This window comes from Homo sapiens, chromosome 21 (assembly GCF_000001405.40).
Source record: "Homo sapiens chromosome 21, GRCh38.p14 Primary Assembly".
In the NCBI taxonomy this organism is placed as follows: domain Eukaryota; kingdom Metazoa; phylum Chordata; class Mammalia; order Primates; family Hominidae; genus Homo; species Homo sapiens.
Window position 1 is genome coordinate 23,360,657 of NC_000021.9, and position 25,067 is coordinate 23,385,723.

General features: G+C 35.4%; 1 long non-coding RNA gene across 1 annotated transcript; it reads right to left on the bottom strand.

Annotated features, from left to right (window-relative positions):
• Nucleotides 1-447: 447 nt before the first annotated feature.
• On the bottom strand, nucleotides 448-24,179 carry D21S2088E. Its single transcript, NR_040254.1, has 5 exons — nucleotides 24,032-24,179; nucleotides 12,292-12,428; nucleotides 11,671-11,792; nucleotides 3,382-3,537; nucleotides 448-1,583 (listed from the first exon to the last, which is right to left on the bottom strand). It is a non-coding gene; the product is annotated as a D21S2088E (long non-coding RNA).
• Nucleotides 24,180-25,067: the final 888 nt, after the last annotated feature.

The window sequence follows — 25,067 nt, forward strand, 5'->3', positions numbered from 1 at the left end:
TCATCTCTCTCAAGTTTAAAGTTCCACAGATCTCTGGGGCAAGGGCAAAATGCTGTCAGTCCCTTTGCATAGCAAGAGTGACTTTTACTCCAGTTCCCCACAAGTTCCCCATCTCCATCTGAGACTGCCTCAGCCTGGATTTCATTGCCCGTATCACTATCAGCGTTTTGGTCAAAGCCATTCAACAAGTTTCTAGGAAATTCCAAAGTTTCCCACATCTTCCTGTCTTCTGAGCCCTCCAAGTCTCTGGGAATTTCCATACTTCCCCACATTTTCCTGTCTTTTTCTGAGGCCTCCAAACTGTTCCAGCCTCTGCCCGTTACCCAGTTCCAAATTTACCTCCACATTTTTGAGTATCTTTATAGTAGCACCCCATTCTTGGTAACAATGTACTGTATTAGGCCATTCTCTTGGTGCTTAAAAACATACTTGAGACTGGGCAATTTATAAAGGGTAGAAGTTTAATTGACTCACACTTCCACATGGTTAGGGAAGCCACAGGAAACTTACAATTATGGTGGATGGGGAAACAAACATGTCCTTCTTCACATGGTGGCAGGAGAGAGAAGAATGAGTACCCAGTGAAGCAGGAAGCCCCTTATAAAGCCATCAGGTCTCATGAGAACTAACTCACTATCATGAGAACAGGATGGGGAAAACTGCTCTGATTATTTAATTATTTTCACCTGGTCCCTCCCATAACACGTGGGGATAATAGGAACCATAACTCAAGATGAGATTTGGGTGGGGACACAGCCAAACCATATCACTATACTACGCAAATTCTCCTCTTCTAGTTATTGTTGTATTTCAAAGACCTCAGAAAGTCTATGGGTTGGAAGGTGTGTCATTTTGTTTTCCTTTTTAAGGTAAATCAAACAGCTACTGAGGCACTATTTACCTGAAATGGAGCAGCCTTTGCATGCAGTCTCAACTTCAAAGTTAACAAAGAAATATAAATTTTAAAAGCCCTCAAAGATGGATATTTAACTATTAAATAAACATGTTTAATAGTTATCATGGGGGAAAATTCACATTATGTATTATATGTGTAATACATAAACACACACACTATATATAATTTCCTTTTTATTGTCATTATTTTCTGGTCAAGCAATCTTCTATCCTCTTTTTAAAACACCACAAGGTAATGATTGATAATTTGGGAGAGAACACCACTGAGTGTTTTTCAGGTTGTGAATCAGCTTTAAACCTAAGGTACTACTCTGAACACGTGGCCACTGACCCTGGGGCTTAACCATAACTCAACTTTTGCTGAGCTTCAAACACTAGTTCTAGTGACAAATGGAACAAATTCTACAAACTGCTTCACACAAATAATGCTTTTGGATTGCTTGTTGTGCTCACTTGCAGAGCTGAGAGAACCATTTTTCTTCTAATCCTTATGGACAAAAATGCATTAGTCTTTCCACTTCTAATCCAATCCGTGCCATATTTTCTCTTGTGAGTAAATGGTTTTGTGGAGTCTCTGTTGGTCGTTATAACCCCTGCCTTATGAAAGCTTCTGTTCTATTCAGAACTTCTTTATTCTTCTGTAACCTTCAATATAGCACTTTGTCTGTCTGTAAATAACAGTTAGATAGTTCAGGATAAAGATGTCTTAATCTTATCATTACTTGACTTTATATAGCTATGTAAACAAAATGTAATATGTGCATAACTATATATAAAACATAAAATTTCAAGGATGTTAAAAACAGATATAATATGTAAATAAAATAAATATCATAATTTTTAAGAAGAAACATAGTATATGCTTTAAAGATGGACTACTAGGCAATTTGACTCCTGCCTGTGTCCATACACTTAACAGTTATAAAATGTATCCTCACTGAAAACCTTCACTTAGCACTGCATTTATCAAACCCTATGTACTTTCAAAATTTATACCAATTAACACCCTACAAAATAGTTATTACTATTAATGTCATTTTACAGATGAAAAAGCTGAGATACTGAGTGACTTTAAACATAAGCTATAACATCATAAAATTTCAATTTCTCCATTTGCATAGAATATGTGTGTTTAACAAAACTTTTCAATATATCTATATTTTACATGACATTTTAAAATTCGTGGAAAGCAAGTTCTAATAAATTACAATGTGCATAATATTGTCTTGATCATGGTTTGTGCTCAAAGTAAGTGGTTATTTAAGGAATTCAAGTAGAAAATGTATAGCTGTGTTTAAGGACTGTGAAAGATTAGAAAGTTTTTACCCTACGAGAAATCTAAGTAGGTATCTTTTCAAAATTGTATGAATTACAGTAGAAGATAAAAGACTCCTGAATCAGATACAAAGAAGAGTTTTTTATTATCAACAATCAGCATAGCTAGAGTACTGGCATTTCTGCACCAGTTTCTGAGACCCAGTTTTCACAGGGTAATGTGAAGAGGGATAGTTAAACCTGCATAAGCGGTAAGCTTCCTTACTGCAGAAAAATCCCGAGTTTATGTATGCCCATTATTTTTAACTGTTCAGTTAGAATGTTTATTTTTTGCTCTTCAAAAGTAGATACTCTATATTTTCTAAGGCTCTTATACAAACACTTTTAAAAACACAGTTTGGAAAAAGGTACAAATGTGTCCTCATTTGTAAGATAATGCATAAATGTAAGAAACCACCAAGAATTTGCTCCCTAACATTCTTTTTAAAATTATTTACCCTATACTGCACTGATTTGGGTAGTGCATATTTTTTAGACAGCCAAATATTTTTATTAGTTTTCAAAGTAGATGTCTCCTAGTCACTACCTACCTGTGAACCCGTCTCTACAGTAGTAGAAGTATGAATGGTACATCTATTCAAACAAGAGAAATTACATAAAAAACTACATTGGTTGGATATCTTGTGTGTCATTCTCCAGGTCCCATGCTGGTTTTAAGCATAACCATATCAGCTTAATATAAAACCATGGACTTCCTAAAATTAGAGAACTTAAAACAACGGAGATGAAGCTACATGAAAGAGACCCTGGATTATTAACCATGTGGAGCTTTAATGAAGGTTCGATAGAAAACAACTATTGGTAAAAGCCTAAGTCAACAGGATTGATACACAGGTTGTTTACATAAGCTATGTCTACTGTATATCAATCCATTGTCTTGAAAACATTATACTCAAATGAATTTAGTTGAAAGAATATACTTATAAGTTTGTCATCGTTAAGGAAACCAACAACAGATGGCACAACACCCAGAGACTAGTACCCGTGTTAATCCACTACTCCCCTTAGGTCTAGAGTATCAAAATAAATGAGGTAGATAACATTGCAGCCCTGTATTTTTCATCTTTCATGGTTTCACCACCTTTTCCTATGTTACTAGGCAGTTCATCTTAATAGAAAAGTAGGGTCTACCTTCCAGGCCTTTGATTTTTAGTTTGGCCATGTGATTTGCTTTGACCAGTTGTTAGCCCATGTGATGCATGCAGAAATCCAACAACACATTTGAGTGTTTGAACTTCCAGATTTGCTCTTCTGCCATCACTGTGAGAGTATTCCTGAGCCAGCCAGCTGGAGGGAAAAACAGGAGGAGCAGGGCTGAGTCGCACCAGTCATATACGTGTGGCCATCTTGTATCATCTTTAATGCTATTTCATCTAAGTCTGAAAGTGGAGAAGTCTTGAGAAAAGGTAATGGTGCAAAGAGAGATAAGAAACATGGAAACTGAGGGAATCTAAAAAGGTAAACAAGAATTTTGTCCCAATAGAGATTCTTAGTTAAAGACAATTTGTATATTTATGTCCAATATTTTCTCCCATATTGTCATTACTGAAAAATTCTGTATCATATCTTAGATTCGAATATTCAACTGTTTTTGCTTCAATCTTTGAAAAATGGCATGCCATTAATTGGTCAATTCAAGTTCTTCACTTAAGGAAAGTAGAAAACAGAGAAAGTGATTTACAACTTAGTTACAATCACAATCACAAGATGACAGGATCAATCAGCTGATTCTGTCATCTTATCCTGGGTGGTAGCACTTTTCCTGTGAGGTCATTATCTTGGAATCAACAGTATCTATTTCTGAATTCCAAAGAATAAGATAATTAAATGTACATTTAATTCAAATAAAAGACAAACTGTTTTTCAATCATTGTTTAGTAAACTAAGTTTCTTTGAATGAACTATGGTTTATTTTTGTTGAAATATGTACAAAGGTTAAATATGTGATGTTTCCATATTAATCACCTATTATTTTGTAACTTTTCTATTATAAGAAATAAGGTCTTGCTATTAGTTGTCTATGCATTTGAAGTCTATGCAACTTCCTTCTTTAATATTGGACAGGCCGGGCGCAGTGGCTCACGTCTGCAATCCCAGCACTTTTGGAGGCCAAGGCGCGAGGTCAGGAGTTCAAGACCAGCCTGGCCAACACAGTGAAACCCCATCTCTACTAAAAATACAAAAAATTAGCCGGGTATGGTAGCGGGTACCTGTAATCCCAGCTACTCAGGAGGCTGAGGCAGGAGAATAGCTTGAACTGAGAGGCGGAGGTGGCAGTGAGCCGAGATCGCGCCACTGCACTCCAGCCTCGGCAACAGTGCGAGACTCCGTCTCAAAAAACAAAACAAAAAAATACTGGACAAAAGATAATGTACAATAGCAGTCCCTTGATCTCATTTTTTAAATAAAAAATGGAAGATTGTAGCTTAGCTAGGGAAACAGTATAATTGCAAGGTAGCAAGTGTGTCAGCTCAGCCTTCACATTCTCTGGTCATAGAATACAGATTGCCAAATTTTACATTTAATCTGGGAATGTACCTTGAACAATTGTGAACAACTATCTGTGAACGTGTCTTGCAGACAAACCCCTTTATTCAAGGGAAACTAGTCTACTGGCCTGTGTCCATAATTTGATTGATTTTGCTCCTCTGTTTCTCCAGACCTACACAGATGTTCTATTTCTTCACTGTTTAAAAGTCTTTTTTGTTGGACTCCACATTTCTGTGATTGTAATGGGAAATACAGCTGTCTTCTGGTTCAACCCCTCAGACTCTAATCATAGTTTTAATGATGAAAATATAAGTAACCAAATTACATATATAGGTAACCAAATGGTTACCAACATGTAACCATTATTGGTGCTATTGTGAAAATCACATGTCAAAATAATTTACTTTCACTTCAAAATACTCCATAGACAGAGTAATTTGAAAAGTAAGTCTATTTTGTTATAATGAGTCAGCCACAAATAATGAGTTAGCTTAGCACTAAAAAATGGGATAATCTTGATTACATTCCTTCCATAGTGTAGTGTATGCATCTGTATGTATATTGTTCGTTTTCTTCATACTTTTTGTGTCATAAGCACAAGGGACAATAGGAATTTGATGACTTCATGACCTGATCTAAGCCATTATGATTATATTGAGCCATGCCTTGCAAAAATTAATGTTGAAAAATGAGATCATTTATGAGATGAAACTACGATGTAGCTTTGAAAATATAAAGCAATTTTATAAGTTCAGTATAGTTTTTAAAAAGTAATCTTACACTCAAGAGATCTGAATCTTTCTAATTGTAAAGTGAGTAAAGGAGCAAAAATAAAACATGTTCACATTCTTTTGAAGAAACCTCCACAATAGACCACTGTATGTAATGATTCCTTAGCCAAAGGCAAATTTCTTCGAATTTCTTCCTTTGGCCTCTACAATATACATAACACATACACATTGCCAGATTTTAAAAAAATTAGAAAGGATTAAAGGAATTAAATAATTAAGTTATTTAAATATATAAATATAGCAACAAAGGCTATCATATCATTATAAACTGAATATTATAAAATGAATATTAAAAGTTAACACAGTTCCTTTTTATTTTAAAGTCACAAGACACATACCTAGATAACATGTGCATCAAAAGAAATTCAAGATGAAATTTATAACTCTCAAAAGTAATGAAAACCATGATGGTTTATGATAAAACTATTGGTAAAAGCCAAATTTCACTCAGTTTATAAACTAAAGTGTCTTCATAATCAAACAGAAAAATTAAAGTAGTTTTATATTCAAATTAAGATGTTAGAGAAAAAAATTCCCAATTAGCTATAAGTAATTTAGAAAATTTAAGTGAAGATTTAAAGTAAAATTAATAGATTAGAGAAATGAAGGTTAAAATATCTATGAATGCCATATTTGCCATATTTTGAGCACCCAGTAATTGTTTCTGGTTCCTAATGAAATAAGAGAGTTCCCTGACCCCCTTGCAGGACTTGTGACAAAGGTGTGGCTCCTTTGCTTGTCTGTCATTTACTCAAACCCCTTACAGAAGGGGGAGCATGCAGAGGGGCAGGTGCAGGAGACAGGGAGCAAGCTTCTGGGCTCTGGCCCCACTATAGCATCTAGGGGTGTATTACAATTAATGCCCTTTTAGCAGTTTTGCTGTCCGAGGATGGCTAGGAATTAAACCTGCTCAGTGGAGAGTCCGGGTGACAGCCTTAACATCCTGCCCTCTTGGTACCGGGGTCCTTGTCTGGCATCCAGGAAGAATCAAGTCACTCGGACTTGAAGGATGGTGAATGCGAGGATTTTATTGAGTGGTGGAAGTGGCTCTCAGTGGGATGGATGGGGAGCTGGAGAGGAGATGGAGTGGGAAGATGATCTTGCCTGGAGTTCAGTCATCCCACAGCTGAGCTCCTCTCCAACCGTCCCCAGCCGGACTCCTCCCTACGTTCAGACACTCCTCCTCTTCTCTCCTTCTCTGGTGTGCTGCTCTGCCACTCTGCTGCTCCTCTACTCCTCTGTTTGTGGAGCTTGGGGTTTATATGGGCACAGGATAAGGGTGTGGCGGGCCAGAACTGTCTTGGAAAAGGCAATATTTGAGCGTGAAAACAGGAATGTCTGTTCCCATTTAGGGCCACGGGTTTCCAAGCTTGATGGTGGGGTTTTTCCTGGGCACCACCCTTTTCTACCCAGTATTTCCCTGCATCCTGTCTGTATCACTACCATTTCCTTTTGGTTTTTCTCCTTTGTGTGTGTGTGTGTGTGTGTGTGTGTGTGTGTGTGTCTCCATGTTTATTCTTTCCTTTTGTCCTAATTTTTTCCTTTTTCTAATCATGCAAACTCCTGGAAAATTACTTAAAATTGTAATTCAGGGATGTGTCAAAATAATAAAAAAAATTAACAATGTAGTTTGAGGATGAAAGTGTCAGTGATGAGAATGAAAGTTCTGTAAGCACCGAAATTATTTAAAATGAATGAGGAAATTCAAGTATAATATGTAATTAAGATTATTACCATCTCACTGAAAGCGTTTGTAATATGTAATTATCAAAAAATTAAGAATAGTTACTGGGAAAAAATACAGAGCATTACAGAGAAAAAAAATACAAGATGCACATACCCTAAATTTACACAATAGAAAAATGAAAAGAAGAAATTCTACAAAATCTAAAAAAGAAAAAATGTTTGGGCTTTAATTCATGGAAACAAAAGTAAATAAAGAACACTTTCGTGTTGTATTAGTCTTCTAGTGTTTCATAACAGATTGTCACAAAGCTAATGGCTTAAAACATGCATAGTTTTTTAAACTTCCATTTCCATTTCACGATCAAAAACAAGAGGTCCTCTTTGCAGTCCTCTAAATAGACTCTCTTACAGCATGGTGAGCTTACTTCCCCAAAGGTAAAGAGGAAGAGTGTCTCTGGTACAAGAGGTAGCTTTGTGCATAGATACTGTAACCTAAGCACAGGAGCGACACCAATCTCCTTCACAGTATTCTATTATTAGAAACAAGTCACAGACTCCTTCCACATTGAAGGGCAAGGACTTATACAGACCTTGAATATGGGGACAACTCTAAGGTCTATCCAATATACCTAGTAAATAAATACCCTTGGATTGGGTTAAACAATCCACTACTATAAAATTTTCTGAGGATTGACAAAGAAATAGTATTTAAATAAAAGAAGAAAAATGTGTTCTGATATTGTGTTAGTAAAATAGCATTAAACACAAAAGGCATAAAAAGGGGGCAAAAATCACGAAGCAGGCTACACACTGTGAGACTGAACTGGTTGTTAGAAAAATAGAAGAATGTCAGAAATAAAACAGGGTTCATTTTAACTCATGAATTTGAATCTCCATTTATATGTCACTTCCTAAATATTGTATCTTGTATCACTTGATCCCCTAGCTTTTCTATACTTTCTAGTTCTTCTTTTTGATATGTCCATTATACATATAATTAGTTGATTAATATTTGTATTCTAGCCTTAACTGCAGTTCCATGACAGGAGGTATTCAAACAGTCACTATTATCCAGAAATATATCTAGTATGTAACAAAAGCTTAATAAATCTTTAGCAAATTAAAATTAAAACAGGCTGGGCGCAGTGGCTTACGCCTGTAATCCCAGCAGTTCGGGAGGCCAAGGACAGCAGATCACAAGGTCAGGAGTTCAAGACCAGCCCGGCCAATATGATGAAACCCTGTCTCTACTAAAAATACAAAAATTAGCCAGGCGTGGTGGCCGGTGCCTGTAGTCCCAGCTACTTGGGAGGCTGAGGCAGAAGAATCACTTGAACCCAGGAGGCGGAAGTGGTAGTGGGCCAAGATCACGCCACTGCACTCCAGCCTGGGTGACAAAGGTAGACTCAGTCTGGGGAAAAAAAAATTAAACAGATTACAGAATAAAATACAGTGACAGGAAATAATTAGAATATCAAAAAATAAGCTATTGAGAGTCTTCTTCTTAATAAACTTAGTACTAATGAAAATAAATATTATTGCTATAAGTAGAATTTCAGACATTTTTAGTTTAATAAATATAAGAAAACAAAAGAATTTGAACTATTTCAGGAGAGTTTGATTAAAGCTATTATATTAAAGTTAGGCTGGAAATTTCAGATGTTCAAACATGTATTTTTTCTTTAATCAAGGCTATCTAGCTGCATCTACTCTATTCAATATATATTTGCACATTCTTAAGATATCTTCAATTAAGCTTATAAAAATATGAATTTACATATGCAGCATGATTTACTTTTCAGGATTGATCTTTTAAAATTTGTACAAATTTAATATCTTATAAATATTGCAATTTTTTCGAACACTGCCAAAATATAATTGATATCATGAAATATTCATTTAAATTACTCAAATATGTCAACAGGCAAAAATACATTTAGTAACCACTACATGTATAGAGAATAAAAATTCCAGTTTGGATGTGATGTTATATGTCAGTATGTAAACCCATGCTTTAAATAGACCATTTTGTTCTTTAAAAAAATTATCTGGGCCGGGCGCGGTGGCTCACGCCTGTAATCCCAGCACTTTGGGAGGCCGAGGCGGGCGGATCACGAGGTCAGGAGATCGAGACCATCCCGGCTAAAACGGTGAAACCCCGTCTCTACTAAAAATACAAAAAATTAGCCGGGCGTAGTGGCGGGCGCCTGTAGTCCCAGCTACTCGGGAGGCTGAGGCAGGAGAATGGCGTGAACCCGGGAGGCGGAGCTTGCAGTGAGCCGAGATTGCGCCACTGCACTCCAGCCTGGGCGACAGAGCGAGACTCCGTCTCAAAAAAAAAAAAAAAAAAAAAAAAAATTATCTGTAGTTTTCTCTGTGGAACCGATAATATTAGAGATAATTTCTCATAACAGGAAAAAGGGGAGGAAGTAAAAAGGAAGAAAAGAAGGACGGAAGAAATTAAGGAAAACAAAAGGGAAAAAAGAGATAACAAAAGAAAGAAAAAACACAAGTATCCTACACAAGTATACAGCTCATTGTACTCTAGTGAGATGAATGAATTATAGATACAATAACATAATAATAATTTTTGGTGTTTATTTGAAAAGCAAATGCTGCCTTTCTCTATATCAGCTTATGTTGGATATCTTATTATCCTAATCAAAAGTCAGTATAACAGAAGAGTAGAAAGGACTACTGAAATGTGACTGAGATAAAAATTATTTAAATGTAAATAAATAATAATTAGGGTGTAGTGAATGAAGAATGAGGTGAATGAAGAAAGGAGCATTAAAAAGAATAAATATGGGCCAGGCACGGTGGTTCACGCCTGTAATCCCAGCACCTTGGGAGGCTGAGGCGGGCGGATCACAAGGTTAGGAGATCGAGACCATCCTGGCTAACATGATGAAACCCCGTCTCTATTAAAAATACAAAAAAAATAGCCGGGCGTGGTGGCGGGCACCTGTAGTCCCAGCTACTTGGGAGGCTGAGGCAGGAGAATGGCGTGAACCCGGGAGGCGGAGCTTGCGGTGAACTGAGATCGCACCAGTGCCCTCCAGCCTGGGCGACAGAGCGAGACTCTGCCTCAAAAATAAATAAATAAATAAATAAATAATAAAAAATAAAGAATGAAATATGATGAATATAACTCGTTGAAATATAACTCGAATTCTCAAATAGAGTTAATATAGCAAAAAAGTCAAAATACAATAGCATGCATAATAGTTTCAAATTAAGACTAAGTTGATTGAAGACAGTGAAAGAAATGTGGAGAGCAGTAAGAGAAATTAAAGAATAAGAGAAATAAAGCATGAGGGAAATGAAAGCACAGATCATGAAGGAAGAAATGAAAAGGGAAGTAAAATACAGCAATGACAATAAAAATATTAATGAAGAAAATATGGGTATGTCATAATGGAAAAAAAATTAGAAAGAACAATCTGAAAAGTATTGATGCCTCTGTAAGGAAGCGTGAAATGGGGAGTTGGAATATTGTAAACGTCTTTTTATCTCCTTCTTGTTACCTAGGCTGAGTGTTGCAGAGTCCTAACTGAGGGCAGTTGGCTTCCCCAAGAAAGTGAGACACCTTGGAAAGGCTGACTCTGACCTGCAGTGACCATATATCAGTTCCATATGACAGAATGTCTCCTTCCAATGGATGTTGATCACCTTGTCACCTGTTGCCTAAATGACCTTGTCTATTGTCCATTATTTTGATGTATCCAGAGGGGCAACAAATCACTCTCCTAGCTGCACAATCATTCTCCTGGTAAATGTATTAGGCTTACCAAAGAAACGTACAAAATCCCATCTGAGAATGGTCAGTTTTCCAAGCTGAACTACATCATGAAGTAAACCTCAAGATCAAGAAAGTGATCGAAATTACTTTTTTTTTTTTTTTTTTTTTTTTTTGAGACGGAGTCTCCCTCTGTTGCCCAGGCTGGAGTGCTGTGGCGCGGTCTTAGCTAACTGCAAGCTCCGCCTCCTGGATTCACGCCATTCTCCTGCCTCAGCCTCCCAACTCCGCTGATATTACCACAGGTCTTGATATAACTCAGCCTTTGGAGGCATCACTCAGGATGGTAACAGACATGGCTAGCCTTGGAGATACTTCTCATTTTAAAATCGCTTGCCAGCTTTTGGAATGGAACTTATACCATCAGCTCTCCTGACTCTCAGGTCTTCAGAACAGGCTAGAACTATACATTGTTTCTCTAGCTTGTCAACTGCAGATCCTGGGAATTCTCAGCCTCCATAATCATATGAGCCAATGCTTTATCACGAATAAATGCATGTGTGTGTTTGTGTATATATATATTTATTTATATCCTACTAGTTATATTTCTTTGGAGAACCCTAATATATGCTAATATATTATGGATGCCAAAAGACTTCTTTCAAGGCATGTTATGTTCAAATATAAATAAAAAATCTTTAAATATACCTTTACCTTTGATATCTTGGGAAGTTCCTTAGATCAGAAGATGTTTTCTTGAAAGTCAAAGTAATTACACATCTTGCAAATGCTAGATCATGGTTGATGCGTCAGTCTGGATAAAGAAACTTGCTTGTCTGTTATTACCAAAATAAATAAATAAATAAATAAAAACCTCAGCATCTTCTGTCAGGTTATAAATGTCACCTTGTGATAACATTGCCTGTTCCTTTGCAGGCACCCTTCTGCATTTATACATTGTTTCACACACAATACAAAATGGCATAGGCCTGATTGGATTATCAGCTCATATAAAATAAAATAATATTTTTTACTATATATAGTTAATACAATATATTAATAACTAGCACTTCTTTTGTGTTTCTTTTTTCTTTGTCCCTTTAATGTGCTGAAGTGATTAAAAATATTATTACAATGTGTCATCAACTTTATAAGAATTACTTATAATCCTAGGCCTCAAATTTTCCTTTTCTGTATGACAATTTCCATGTAAAAATCCCAAATATAATTGTAGGACAAACTTCATTAAACAATACAATAAATATTCAGAATGATTCAATAGTCAAATCTCATAACAACACAGAAACTTTACCATACATTTTACCTCTGACTTACATAATTCACACTGATAACACCACCAAATGTCATTGGAACAGCTGAACTGGAACACAGAAAATGCTTCCTTTTGTGTAAAAATGCCCTTTTCTCTTGCACCATTTTAATCCGTTCAGTTCATTAAGTTAGTCAGCAGCCTATAAAAAGAGGTTGGGGTAAGTTATTCCAGAAGGAGGGAGTAATATCAGTTCCCTGCAATACCACATTCAGTAATTATCAATGGTCATTACTATCTAAAGTAGAACTGACTCAATCAAGTAAATATGGTCATATTGAATACTGATATACAGGGCTGGAAAACCATGAATGAAATTGCTAATGGGATTTCTCAATCGCTGTCATTGTGCACTAATGTAGAAATCAATAACTGATTTATTTTATCATCTTACCTTTTATAATCCTCAGTGTTACCTCACAGAATTCTGTTTAGATAAATCTTATTGTAGACTTAAATAACATATCTAAAATTTGAGTATGATTTTAAATATTCTTTCTAATTTTCATTTCACATATACAATATAAATTTAACAATTTCTCAAAATCCTTAATAAGAAAATGTTGACACATCATATGTTATAATAAATTATGTAATTACTTCTAATATCTCATTTATTCAAATGAAAAGTTTACCCTAAATGTGGTCAATAGAATCATGGTTCTGTGATTATGTGTTTCTGTAAAGGAAAAAAAAAGTTTTTCTAATTCCATATTTTGAAGAAGTATTCATGGATGCCACAATATAATATTTGAAATTTGATTTGAAATAATCATCGGGGCATTGAAGTGACATAAAGCACAATTTCAATAAATTGATACTTTCTGAAGGGGTTAAAGAGGTTCACATATAATTTATCTATTTTATAGATATTTTGCCATCACTTCATAATAAAAGCAAAAACAAACAAAACAAAAATGATGTGGTTAGTTTACCATCCAGTAAAGAAACATTATTTCTCAGCTAATGTCTCAAACTACAAGATATTGACATTAAATAATAAAATTTTATACATCTATTTTTCCATTTTATTAGTAGCAAACTTTTTGTTAAAAATCTTTAAAAAGGCAATATAAGCAAGTGCATAAATATATATGCTCTCCATGTAGCAATTTGTCACTAAAATGTATCTTCCTAGTAGAATATATGTTCAAAATTAAAATACTCTTTTGTTTTCACCTTTTTAACCCTGTTTTGAAAATGAGTTATGTAAAGGTAACTGGAATGGCTAAACTGTGTCCCCAGCATTTGTATGTTGAAATCCTCACCTCTAGTATATTAGAATGTGACTGTATTTGAAGATACGGCCTTTAAAGAGGTAATTAAGTTATAATAGGGTCATTAGGGTGGGCGCTAATATAATAAGTCTGGTTTCCATACAAGAGGAGGAGATTAGGACACAGACAGCGAAACATCAGAAGTGCACACACAGATTATCTGATTACACAGTGAAGTCTGCCCTCTGCAAGCCAAGGAGAGAGGTCTCAGGCGAAACCAAATTTGTCACCATCTTGATCTTAGACTTTCAGCCTGCAGAACAATGAGAAAATCAATTTCTGTTGTTTAAGCCACACAACCTGGGGTATTTCATTATGACATTTAGAGCAAACAAGCACAGTAACTTTTCCTAATTTTTTTTTCTCCTTCACATAATCAACTTTTCTATTAATATGTGTAGTTGTCTGCTAGGACTGCCATAACAAAATACCTGAGACTAGGTGATGTAAATAACAGAAATTTATTTTTTTACAGTTCTTGAGGCTGGAAGTCAAAGTTAAGGTATCAGCAGGTTTATTTTCTCCTGAGGTCTCTCTTCTTGAATTGCAGAAGGCATCTGCCAGATGTGTCCTCAGAGGGTCTTTTGTTTGTGTGCGCATCTCTGGTGTCTCTTTCTCTTCCTATAAAAACACTAGTAATATTGAATCAGGGCCTCACCCTTAGGACCTCATTTAAGTTTAGTTACCTTGTTAAAGGCCATATATCTAAATATAGTCACTTTAGGTTAGGGCTTCAACTTATGAATTTGGGAGTCAGCACAATTGAATCCACAAAATATGCATATGAAATGGGTGCTTTATATGTTTATTTGATTATAAACATACATTTTTGTATTCAGGAAATGAGAGAGGGTCAAAAATTTGCATAAAATGCCTGATTATTACTATTCCTCCAAAATCTTTTTACTGTATTATGAGTAACCATTCTGTAGATAGACTTCATTCTACTGTCATTTCAAAATGCAGTGCCAGCTTTTTTAACTCTCCCTCAACATAATATCTGCCTTTTATAAGATTCAAAACCATTAATATCATGCCTTTATTATATGATGGATTATTTTGTAGCCCCTCTTTCTGACAGTATCCCCCCCCAACTCACTATGAACATTTTTGTTTTTTAACTGTAAAAAAAAATCAAGCATGAATTTTATTGAAAAGTGCCTCCCATTTGAGTCTCATGGGCTGTGAAATATAGTTTGGATACAAGGACGAAGATAAATAGTTTTCATTTTTAGCCTACAGAAAATAATTTGTTCTGCTCTGGGAACTAGTAAATCTAAAAATCACCCTGACATAAATTCTCTCTTCTTTTAATAACGACCATTTAAGTGGATGGGTGAATTCCTTTGGACTCCATGTGATTTATCAGAACAAATCTTATTAAAAATGTAATTGTTCAGACAATAATATTAGTCATTCATTTAGGATTAAACACTGTATCTAGGACAGGCTTTTAAAATGAAAACAAAATGTAAACATCATTCATAAATAATTGCTGAATCTTGAATATTTATTCTCTCAATTATTATTATGTATATTTCTTTGTTCTTTAATTTTAAACTGAGAGAATATGTTTAATTACTCTGTGGAAAGGTAGGCCTATAAATTTTTAGTGTTGAAGCCTTCTTATTATACCCTATAATTGGCTTGTTTAGTTTAAAATTGATGTGAAAATAAGATGCTGCCACGACAGGTGTGTATTAAAAGTGAAATGACTGGTATCCTTGCATTATTAACATTAACTATACTGATCTAATCATATTACTAATTCTTACACATATTTTTACTTATTTATTTTACAACAATATGTTCAAATCATAAAGACATAGTTAATATGACTATATTTAGGAAAATACACTAATATAACTTTTAATCATAAAGTTTTGAGTTTTTAATGACTTTAGTTAATGCTTCCATCATCTCTCAATTTGACCACTGCAAAACTTTATGAGATCCACATATATATGTCAGTAATCAACTTTGCCGCCAGAACATATTTTTAAATAAATATCTGATTATGTTGCTGTCTAATATAAAACTAGTTTTTACTTTTCGTAAAACAATAAAAATGAACTTCATCTGCCTACCCTTCATCAGGCATTCCCTCTGCCTTTCTACACTTCTCTTTAACCTGCCATTTTAAGTTACTCCCATTAACCTCAGTGTCTTTGCACAGCTGATTACTAACAGAACATCTACGTGTACTTTTTCCATTCGTATCTTAATATTTTCATTCCAGATATAATCTGTACAGATTGTATATTGTAATATAAATGTCAATTATTCAGAGACATTTTGAGACATTTTATTTCTTTCCCCCAAACTTCCAGGAACCTCATAGTTCTCTCTTCCTTTATAATATTATATTCAAATAAATGTTTAATGTCTATATCTTCCCTAGCTTTTAATTTCTATGAACATAAGGAGTAAGTCTTTTTGTTCACATTATATTCCACATACATAAAAATTCTAAAAATGGGAGGTCAAGGCAGGTGGATCGTTTGAGCTCAGGAGTCTCAGACCAGCCTGGGCAATGTAATAAAACCCCATCTCTGCAAAAGTACAAAAGAAATTAGCCAGGCATGTTGGCGTGCACCTGTAGTCCCAGCTACTTGAGAAGCTGAGGTGGGAGGATCACCCAAGCCTGGGAGCTCAAGACTGAGGTGAGCCGAGCCATAATCATGCCACTGCACTCCAGCACAGGTGACAGACTAAGACCTTGTCTAAAAAAAAAATCTTAAAATATTAGTTACTCAGTGAATGTTTATTAAACAAATGAATAAAAGCAAGAGAAGAGGATACTTTGGAAACAGCAGACTAAGTGTTTCCAAGATCGGCTCCTCCATAAAATTAATGTAATGAGAACATTAGCAAAACATTGAAAACAAATTTAAAACAAACTGTTTTCAAGACTCTAAAATTAACTAAAAATTTGCAAAATTTCAGGAGCACTTATTCAAGAAAAATAGTGAATGTCAATGAGAACAGTGAGCTTTTTGGTAGCTTACATTGCCTCATTTCCATCCCACTCCTCATAGCGGTACCCTCAAAAGTCAATAACCTCAGACTGGCACGGAGGCTCACACCTGTAATCCCAGCACTTTGGGAGTCAGAGGCGGGAGAATCACAAGGTGAGGAGATGGAGACAATCTTGGCTAACATGGTGAAACCCTGTCTCTATTAAAAATACAAAAATTAGCTGGGTGTGCTGGCGCACACCTGTAATCTCAGCTACTTGGGCTGCAACAGGAGAATCAATTGAACCTGGGATGCAGAGGTTGCAGTGAGCCGAGATCATGCCTCTGCAATCCAGCCTGGCCACAGAGTGAGACCCCACATCAAAAATAATAATAATAATAATTCCCTCACAACCAATGTACTTGTAAAAACCACCACTGTAGTACCACTTAGAGGGGTCCAACAAGTTTGGAGCTCCTAAAAGCCCCATGTCCAGAAAATTCTCTTTATCTGACTAGACTCACAGTCCTATCAATACAAATAGCCATAAACCCAGGCTGATATGGTTTGGCTCTGTGTCCCCACCCAAATTTCATCTTGAATTGTAATAATCCCCATGTGACTAGGGCAGGACCAGGTTGAGATAATTGAATCATTGGGGCAGTTTCCCCCATGCTGATCTCATGATAGTGAATGAGTTCCCATGAGATCTGATGGTTTTATAAGGGGCTAGCCCCGTCATTCAGCACTCATTCTCTCTCCTGCTGCCCTGTCAAGAGGCACCTTCTGCCGTGATTATAAGTTTCCTGAGACCTTCCCAGCCATACAGAACTGTGAGTCAATTAAACCTCATTTCTTTATAAATTACCCAGTCTTGGGCAATTCTTTATAGCAGTGTGAGCACAGATTAATACAGTAAATTGTACCAAGGGAGTGGGGCACTGCTATAAGGATATCTGAAAATCAGGAAGCAACTTTGCAACTACAAAATGGGCAGAGGTTGGAACAGGTTGGACGGCTCAGAAGAAGATAAAAAAAAGTGGGAAGATTTGGAACTTCATAGAGACTTGGAGGGCTCCAAAGACAGGAAGATATAGAAAAGTTTGGTACTTCCTAGAGACTTATTGAGTGGCTTTCACTAAAATGCTGATAATGATATGGACAATGAAGTCTAGGCTGAGGTGGTCTTACATGGAGATGAGGAACTTGTTGGGAACTAGAGTAAAAGTCACTTTTGCTATGCTTAAGCAAAGTGACTCATGGCTTTTTGCCCCTGCCCTTGAGATCTATGGAACTCTGAACTTGAGAGAGAGATGATTTAGGGTATCTGGGAGAAGAAATTTCGAAGCAGCAAAGCATTCAAGAGGTGACAGAGCATAAAAGTTTGGAAAATTTGTACCTTGACAATGTGGTAGAAAAGAAAATCTCATTTTCTGGGGAGAAATTCAAGCTAACTACAGAAATTTCATAAGTAATGAGGAGCAAAATGCCCATTGCCAAAACAATGGGGAAAATGTCCCAGGGCATGTCAGAGACCTCCGTGGTAGTGCCTCCCATCACAGGCCAAGAGGCCCAGGAGGGAAAAATGGTTTCCTGGGCAAGGTCCAGAGCCCCCTGCTGTGTGCAGCCACAGGACTTGGTGCCCTGTGTCCCAGCCACTTCAGCATGGCTAAAAGGGGCCAAGGTACAGCTCAGCCCATTGCTTCCGAGGGTGCAAGCCCCAAGCCTTGTCAGCGTCCATGTGGTATTGATCCTGGGGGTGCACAGAAGTCAAGAATTGAGGCTTAGGAATCTCCTCCTAGATTTCAGAGGATGTATGGAAACACCTGGATGTCCAGGCAGAAGTTTACTGCAGGATAGGGCTCTCATAGATAACCTCTGCTAGGGCAATGTGGAAGGGAAGTGTGGGGTTGGAGTCCCACTATAAAGTCTTCATTGGGACACTGCCTAGTGGAGTTGTGAGAGGAGGGTCACAGTCCTCCAGACCCAGAATGGTAGATAAACTGACCCCTTGCACTGTGTGCCTAGAAAAGCCACAGATACTCAATGACAGCCTGTGAAATCAGCCTGGAGTGGTGCTATATACTGTAAAGCCACAGAGACAGAGCTCTCCAAGGCCATGGGAGCCTATCTCTTGCATCGGTGCAGCCTGGATGTGAGATATAGAGCCAACGGAGACCATTTTGAAGCTTTAAGATTTGGCTGCCCTACTGGATTTTGGACTTGCATGGAGTCTGTAGCCCTTTTGTTTTGTCCAATTTCTCCCATTTGAAATGGGTGTATTTACTCAATGTCTGTACCACCATTGTATCTAGCAAGTAACTAACTTGCTTTTGATTTTACAGGCTTATAGGCAGAAGGGACTTGCCTTGTCTCAGATGAGACTTTGAACTCGGACTTTTGGGTTAATGCTGCAATGATTAATACTTTGGGGAACTGTTAGAAGCACATGATTGTGTTTTGAAATGTGAGGACATGAGATTTGGGAAGGGCCAGGTGCAGAATAGCATGGTTGGGCTCTGTGAGAAGAGGGTCACAGTCCTCCAGAACCCAAATCTCACATTGAATTGTAATAATCCCCATGGTCAAGGTGGGATCAGGTGAAGATAATTGAATAATTGGGGTATTTTCCCCCATGCTGTTCTTATCATGATAGTGAGTGAATTTCCATGAGATCTGATGGTTTTATAAGTGGCTTTCCCCTTCACTTGGCACTCATTCTCTGATTTTAGGTTTCCTGAGGCTTCCCCAGCCATGAAGAACTTTGAGTCAATCAAATCTCTTTTCTTTATAAATTACCAAGTCTTGGGTATTTCCTCATAGCAGATTGAGAACAGACTAAAAGCAGGCTTTTGTCAAAAATAATTAAGTAGCAATTGTTTAAATTTGAAGCTTCCTGAGGCACCAACACATGCAATACAAGCTAAAGGTTAATCAAATGACTAAAAGCACAGTGTGGACAATAAGATGTCCATAGAGGGCTTTAAAAAGTTCTGACATATTTCAGGGAATCTAGAAGTTCACACCCATTTGTAGGGCTGTGCCAATCCAAGAGAAGACCAAAGGAGTGCTAAATATCTGACTTCTGGCTAACTAACATTTATGTCTGCGTAAGTAAGAACTGAGGGCTAAAACAAAGACAAACACTGACATAGAGTTGAAGGTATGCCTTAACACACACACACAGAGTACCCCGGCAAAATCTGGTGGATTTACTGGTTCAAGACATTTGAGAAAACCTCTGCTCACTCATTACCTAACCACTAAGTTAATCAAGAAAAGACTTCAGTGGCCACACACAACAAAGCATACAGAGTTTATGGTCCAGGAAAAATCACCAAACAAACAGCAGCAGAAACAACACGTAGCAACAAATCCTAGGGGGGAAAATGGTAATCTGCTTCCCATATAAGCACAAATATTTTATAGATGTTCAGCTTTCAACAAAAGCTATAAGACACGTAAAAAAGAAAAAAAATATGAAAGTAATGCCCACATGCAGGAAATAAAGAAAAATATTTAATAGAAACTGTTCCCTTGGGCTTGGACAAAAATAATGAATAAAATCAAAAAGAAAAAAAACAAAAATTGTTTTCAATGAAACCCAGACATTGGAATTACTAGAAAATGTTTTTAAGTCAGCTATCATAACTATATTAACAGAATAAAGAAAAACCATACCCAAAAAATTAAAATATAAAAACAATATCTCACTAAAAAGAAAATACTTAGACATAAAAATTGTAAATGCACACAAAACTGAAATTCTGGCATGGAAACATACAATAACTAAAATTTAAAAATTCACTATAGTGGAATAACAAAATACTACACATGGCAAAAGAAAGAATCAGTGAGCTTAAAGATAGGTCAATTGAGATTATTCATTCTGAAAAATAGAAAAAATGAATGAATAAAAATAACCAGAGATTTATAGACCTATGAGACACCATTAAGCATGCCAACATAAGCATAAAGGGAGTTCCAGAAGGAGAAGAAATACAGAATATGTAGTTTTTCATGGCTATTATTTATACAGACTTGGTGGCTTAAAAACAACAGAAATTTGTTCTCTCCCACTTTTAAAGATCAAAGGTCTGAAATAATTTCACTAAAGTGAAATCAATATGTCAGCAGGAAAACACTCCCTGTGGAGGCTCCAGAAGATAATCAATTCCTCCCTCTTGCTGCTTCTCGTGGTTTCTGGCATTCTTTGAGTTCTAACTACATCACTTTAATCTCTGCCTCCATTATTCTATTTCTTCCTCCTCTTCTGGTTCTATCAACTCTCCCTCTGCCTCTCTCTTATAAGGATACTCGTCCTTGCATTTAATACCCACCTCTATAATCTAGGATAACATTCCATATCAAGGTCCTTAATTGTATCCACAAGTGCTCTCTTTTCCTTACAAGATAACATTTAAAAGTTTCAGGGAGGATGACCTAATTTTGGGTGTATGTTATTCAGCCAACTACACAGCGAAAGAGGAAGAATGAACATTTGAAGAAATATTGATTGAAAACTTTCTAATCTTGATGAAAATGTTAATTTATAAGTACATGAAGCTTAAGAAATTTTAAGTAGTATAAACTTAAAGATATATAACACCTATTCTCCACTTATTAAACAAATGAAAGCCAAAAAACAGAGAATCTTCAAAGTATTAAGAGGGTAGTGACTTATCATATACAATTGTCCCTTGACAATATTAATAGCAGACCTTGCAAAAGAAATCAAGAAGGCCAGAACATTATATTCAAAGTGATAAAAAAAAGACTGCCAATCAAGAGTTCTATATGAAACAAATAACCCTTCACAAGTGAATAGATAATAAAAAACAGAGGATCTATCATTAGCACACCTGACCTACAGGGGATACTAAAAGAAGTCATTAAGTATGAAATAAAAGGTACTAGAGAGCAACTCAAATTTGTACAAAAAACAGTAAGAACTGATAAAGATATCATTTTTATGGGGTTGTAATGTATACAAATGAAATTTTCTTGATAATTAATCACAAAGGAGAGGGTGATAATGATGTTATACTGGAATACAGTTTAGTACACTATTAAAATTAAGTTGATATTTATCCAAGCTAAATTGCTTTAAATTAAGATGTTAATCCCCAGGATCACATCTAAGAAAATTACTAAAACAAATATAGTAAACGACATCCTAATAAAATTTAAGAGATACCTTAGAAAATAACTATTTAATCCAAAGAAGATAATGATAGAGAAATACAGGAATATAAAATACCTCAGTCATGTAAGAATCTAATAGCAAAATGTCAGGCATAAATTCTACATTATTGGTAATTACGTTACATGTAAACAAAGTGAATGTACATATTGTCTGCAAGATTTAGAGACACAATAAGTAGAAAGTACTTATGTACTTTCTAATGGAAAAAAAACATGTCATATAACCAGTAATCAGAAGAGTGATTGATTAGTTATAACAATGAGAAAAAGACTTTCAGACAAAAATTGTTCTTAGAGAAAAAATTGGACATTTTTTACTGATAAAAGTGTAAAACTATTAGAAGAATGTAACAATTATAAATATATATGCACCTAACAACAATGTTCTAAATTACATTTAAAAACTACAGAATTAATGAGAGAAATATACAATCTCAACCATAATATTTAGACTTAAATATTCTACTATTGACAATACATAGAACAAGGAGACAAAAAATCAACACAAATTGGAGGCTCGAATGACACACAAAAAATCAACCAATTCTAACCAATATCTATGGAATGTACTGTGCAACAACAGCAGAATACACATTTTTTCCATTGTCCATAAAATATTTTCTTGGAGAGACTATATGTTCAGATATAAAATAAACCTCAAAATATTTGAATGGCTTAAATCATACAAAATATATTATCGACACGTAATAGAATAAAATTAACAATTAATAACAAAAGTACATTTGGAAAATTTAACAAATAGTGTGGTGCTCTCCTAAATAACCAATTTAAAAAAGAAAAAAATCACAAGGGAGATTATCAGATGAATAAATACAAAATCACAATATACCAAAAGTGAAGGCATGCAGCTATAGGAGTACCAATGGAAAAATATATAGCTGTAAATAACCATATTAAATGAAAAAAGAAAAGATCTCAAATCAATAACCTGAATTACCACCTTAATAAACTAGAAAAAGCACAAAAAATGTAACCCAAAGTAGGCAGAAGAAGAAAATAATAAAGCTTACAGTGGAAGTAGATTATTAATAAAGGATAGGAGAAATTAGCAATTATCAAAAGTTTTTTTCCTGAAAAAGTCAACCAGGATGACAAGACTTTATCTGGACTGATCAGATAAAGAGCATGATGGAGAAAGTATGCAAAACATTTAAATAAGCAATAAGAAAATTATAAGAAAATACTATAAAAAACTATATCCCATTAAAGTAGACAAATTCCTAAGAAAGCATAAGCTATCAAAAGTCATTTAAGAAGGAATAGAAAATTCAAATAAATATGCAATAAGTAAGGATACTGAATTAGTAATCAATTTTCAACCAATGGAATCCCATGCCTAGCCAGCTTCAAAGATGAATTCCATCGAACTTTTAAACATAAATAAACATCAATTCTCCACAAACTTAACTGAATATAGAAGAGAATTGACTACTTTGTAACTCATTTTATGAGGCCAAAATTACTCTGTTGCCTAAACCAGACAGGCTTCACAAGAAATGAAAATTACACAACACATTTATGGATACACACTCCCAAATTATCAAGAAAAAACTAGCAAATCAAACTCGGCAATATATGAAAAGAATCGTGCCCTGTGACCACAAATTATACTAAGAATGCAATGTTAATTTAACATTTAAAAATCAATGAGTGTAATACCTTATGTTAATAGAATAAAGGAGAAAAATCATATGATCATCTCTGTATTTAAAAACAATATTGGACAAAAACCAACAATATTTGCACAGTATTTATTAGAAATGACAAATGAGTTCAATAAGGCTGTAGCCACATGATCTATATACAAAAATAAATTGCTTTACTATATTCTAGCAATTAACAATCCAAAATAAAATTAAGAATACAATTTCATTTCTGTGAAAAATGTCATTAGAATTTTGAAAGGAATTGCATTGACTCTGCAGATCACTGTGGGTATTTTGGACGTTTTACAGTTGAAAAAAAATAAAACACTTGGGAGTAAATTTTACAAGTCTTGTGGGTGTAAGACTTGTAAACTGAGAACCACAAAATATTACTGAAAATATTAAAGCAGACTTAAATATATGAAAAGTAATCCGTGTTTATGTATCAGAAAAAAATTTGTTAAAATGGCAGTAGTTCCCAAATTAATATGCCAAAATTCTTACCAAAATTCCAGTATCTTTTTTTGTTGTTGTTCCATAAATGTGTGTGTGTGTTTGTATTAGTCAGGGTTCTCTAGAGGGACAGAATAGGAAATATGTATATGTGAAAGGGATTTTATTAAGGAGAATTGACTCACATGATCACAAGGTGAAGTCCCACTACAGGCTGTCTGCAAGTTGAAGAGCAAGGAAGCCAGTAGCGGCTCAGTCCAAGTCCCAAAACCTCAAAAGTAGGAAAATGGTCAGTGCAGCCTTCAGTCTGTGGCCAAAGGCCCAAGAGCCCCTTGCAAACCGCTGGTGTAAGTTCAAAGAGTGCAAAGGACAAAGAACCTGGGGTCTGATGTTTAAAGGCAGGAAGCATCCAGCACAGGAGAAACACAAAAGCAGGAAGACCCCCCACTCTGCTTCTTCCACCTTCTGCCTGCTTTTTCTAGCCAGCTGGTGGCCTATTGGATGGTGCCCACCCACATTGTGAATGCGTCTTTCTGAGTGTGGGTTTTCCTCTCCGAGTCCACTGACTCAAATGTTAATCCCTTCTGGCAACACCCAGAAACAATATTTTGCATCCTTCAATCCAAACAAGTTAACACTTAATATTAATTACACTTAATGTGTAATGATATAAAACCTTCCATTTAAGGTCAGTTAATTTTTAACAAGGGTATCAAAGCATTTTGGTAGGGAAAAAAAGTATCTTTTCAAAAAATTGTGCTGTGAAAACTGGGTATCACATGGAAAAGAATAAAGTTGTAATCCTATCTCAAATCATATATAAATTTAACTCTCAATATTTCAAAGAATTAAATCTAAGGGTGAAAACACTAAATCTTTTACAAGACATGTAGCAGTAAGTGTTTACATCTTTAGTTAGGCAATTGCTACTTAGATGAGACATAAAAGGTGTACGCAGCAAAATATTTATTAAACATAATTCAATTTCTCTTAAAATATGAACAAATTACTTCACGTTCCACATTTAACTTCTGCACCATTTTGAGAAGGATTTTTTTTTTTAATCCCAGGTTAGTATATCAAGATACTTAAAATTTTGCCTATGAAGAAACATGGTAAACACTTCCACAATCAAAAACAATGGAATCTTCAGCAAAAGATTAGTCTATTTAACGTAAACAAAAACTATTTTATGGGTCTAAATAAAAGAGAAATTGAAAT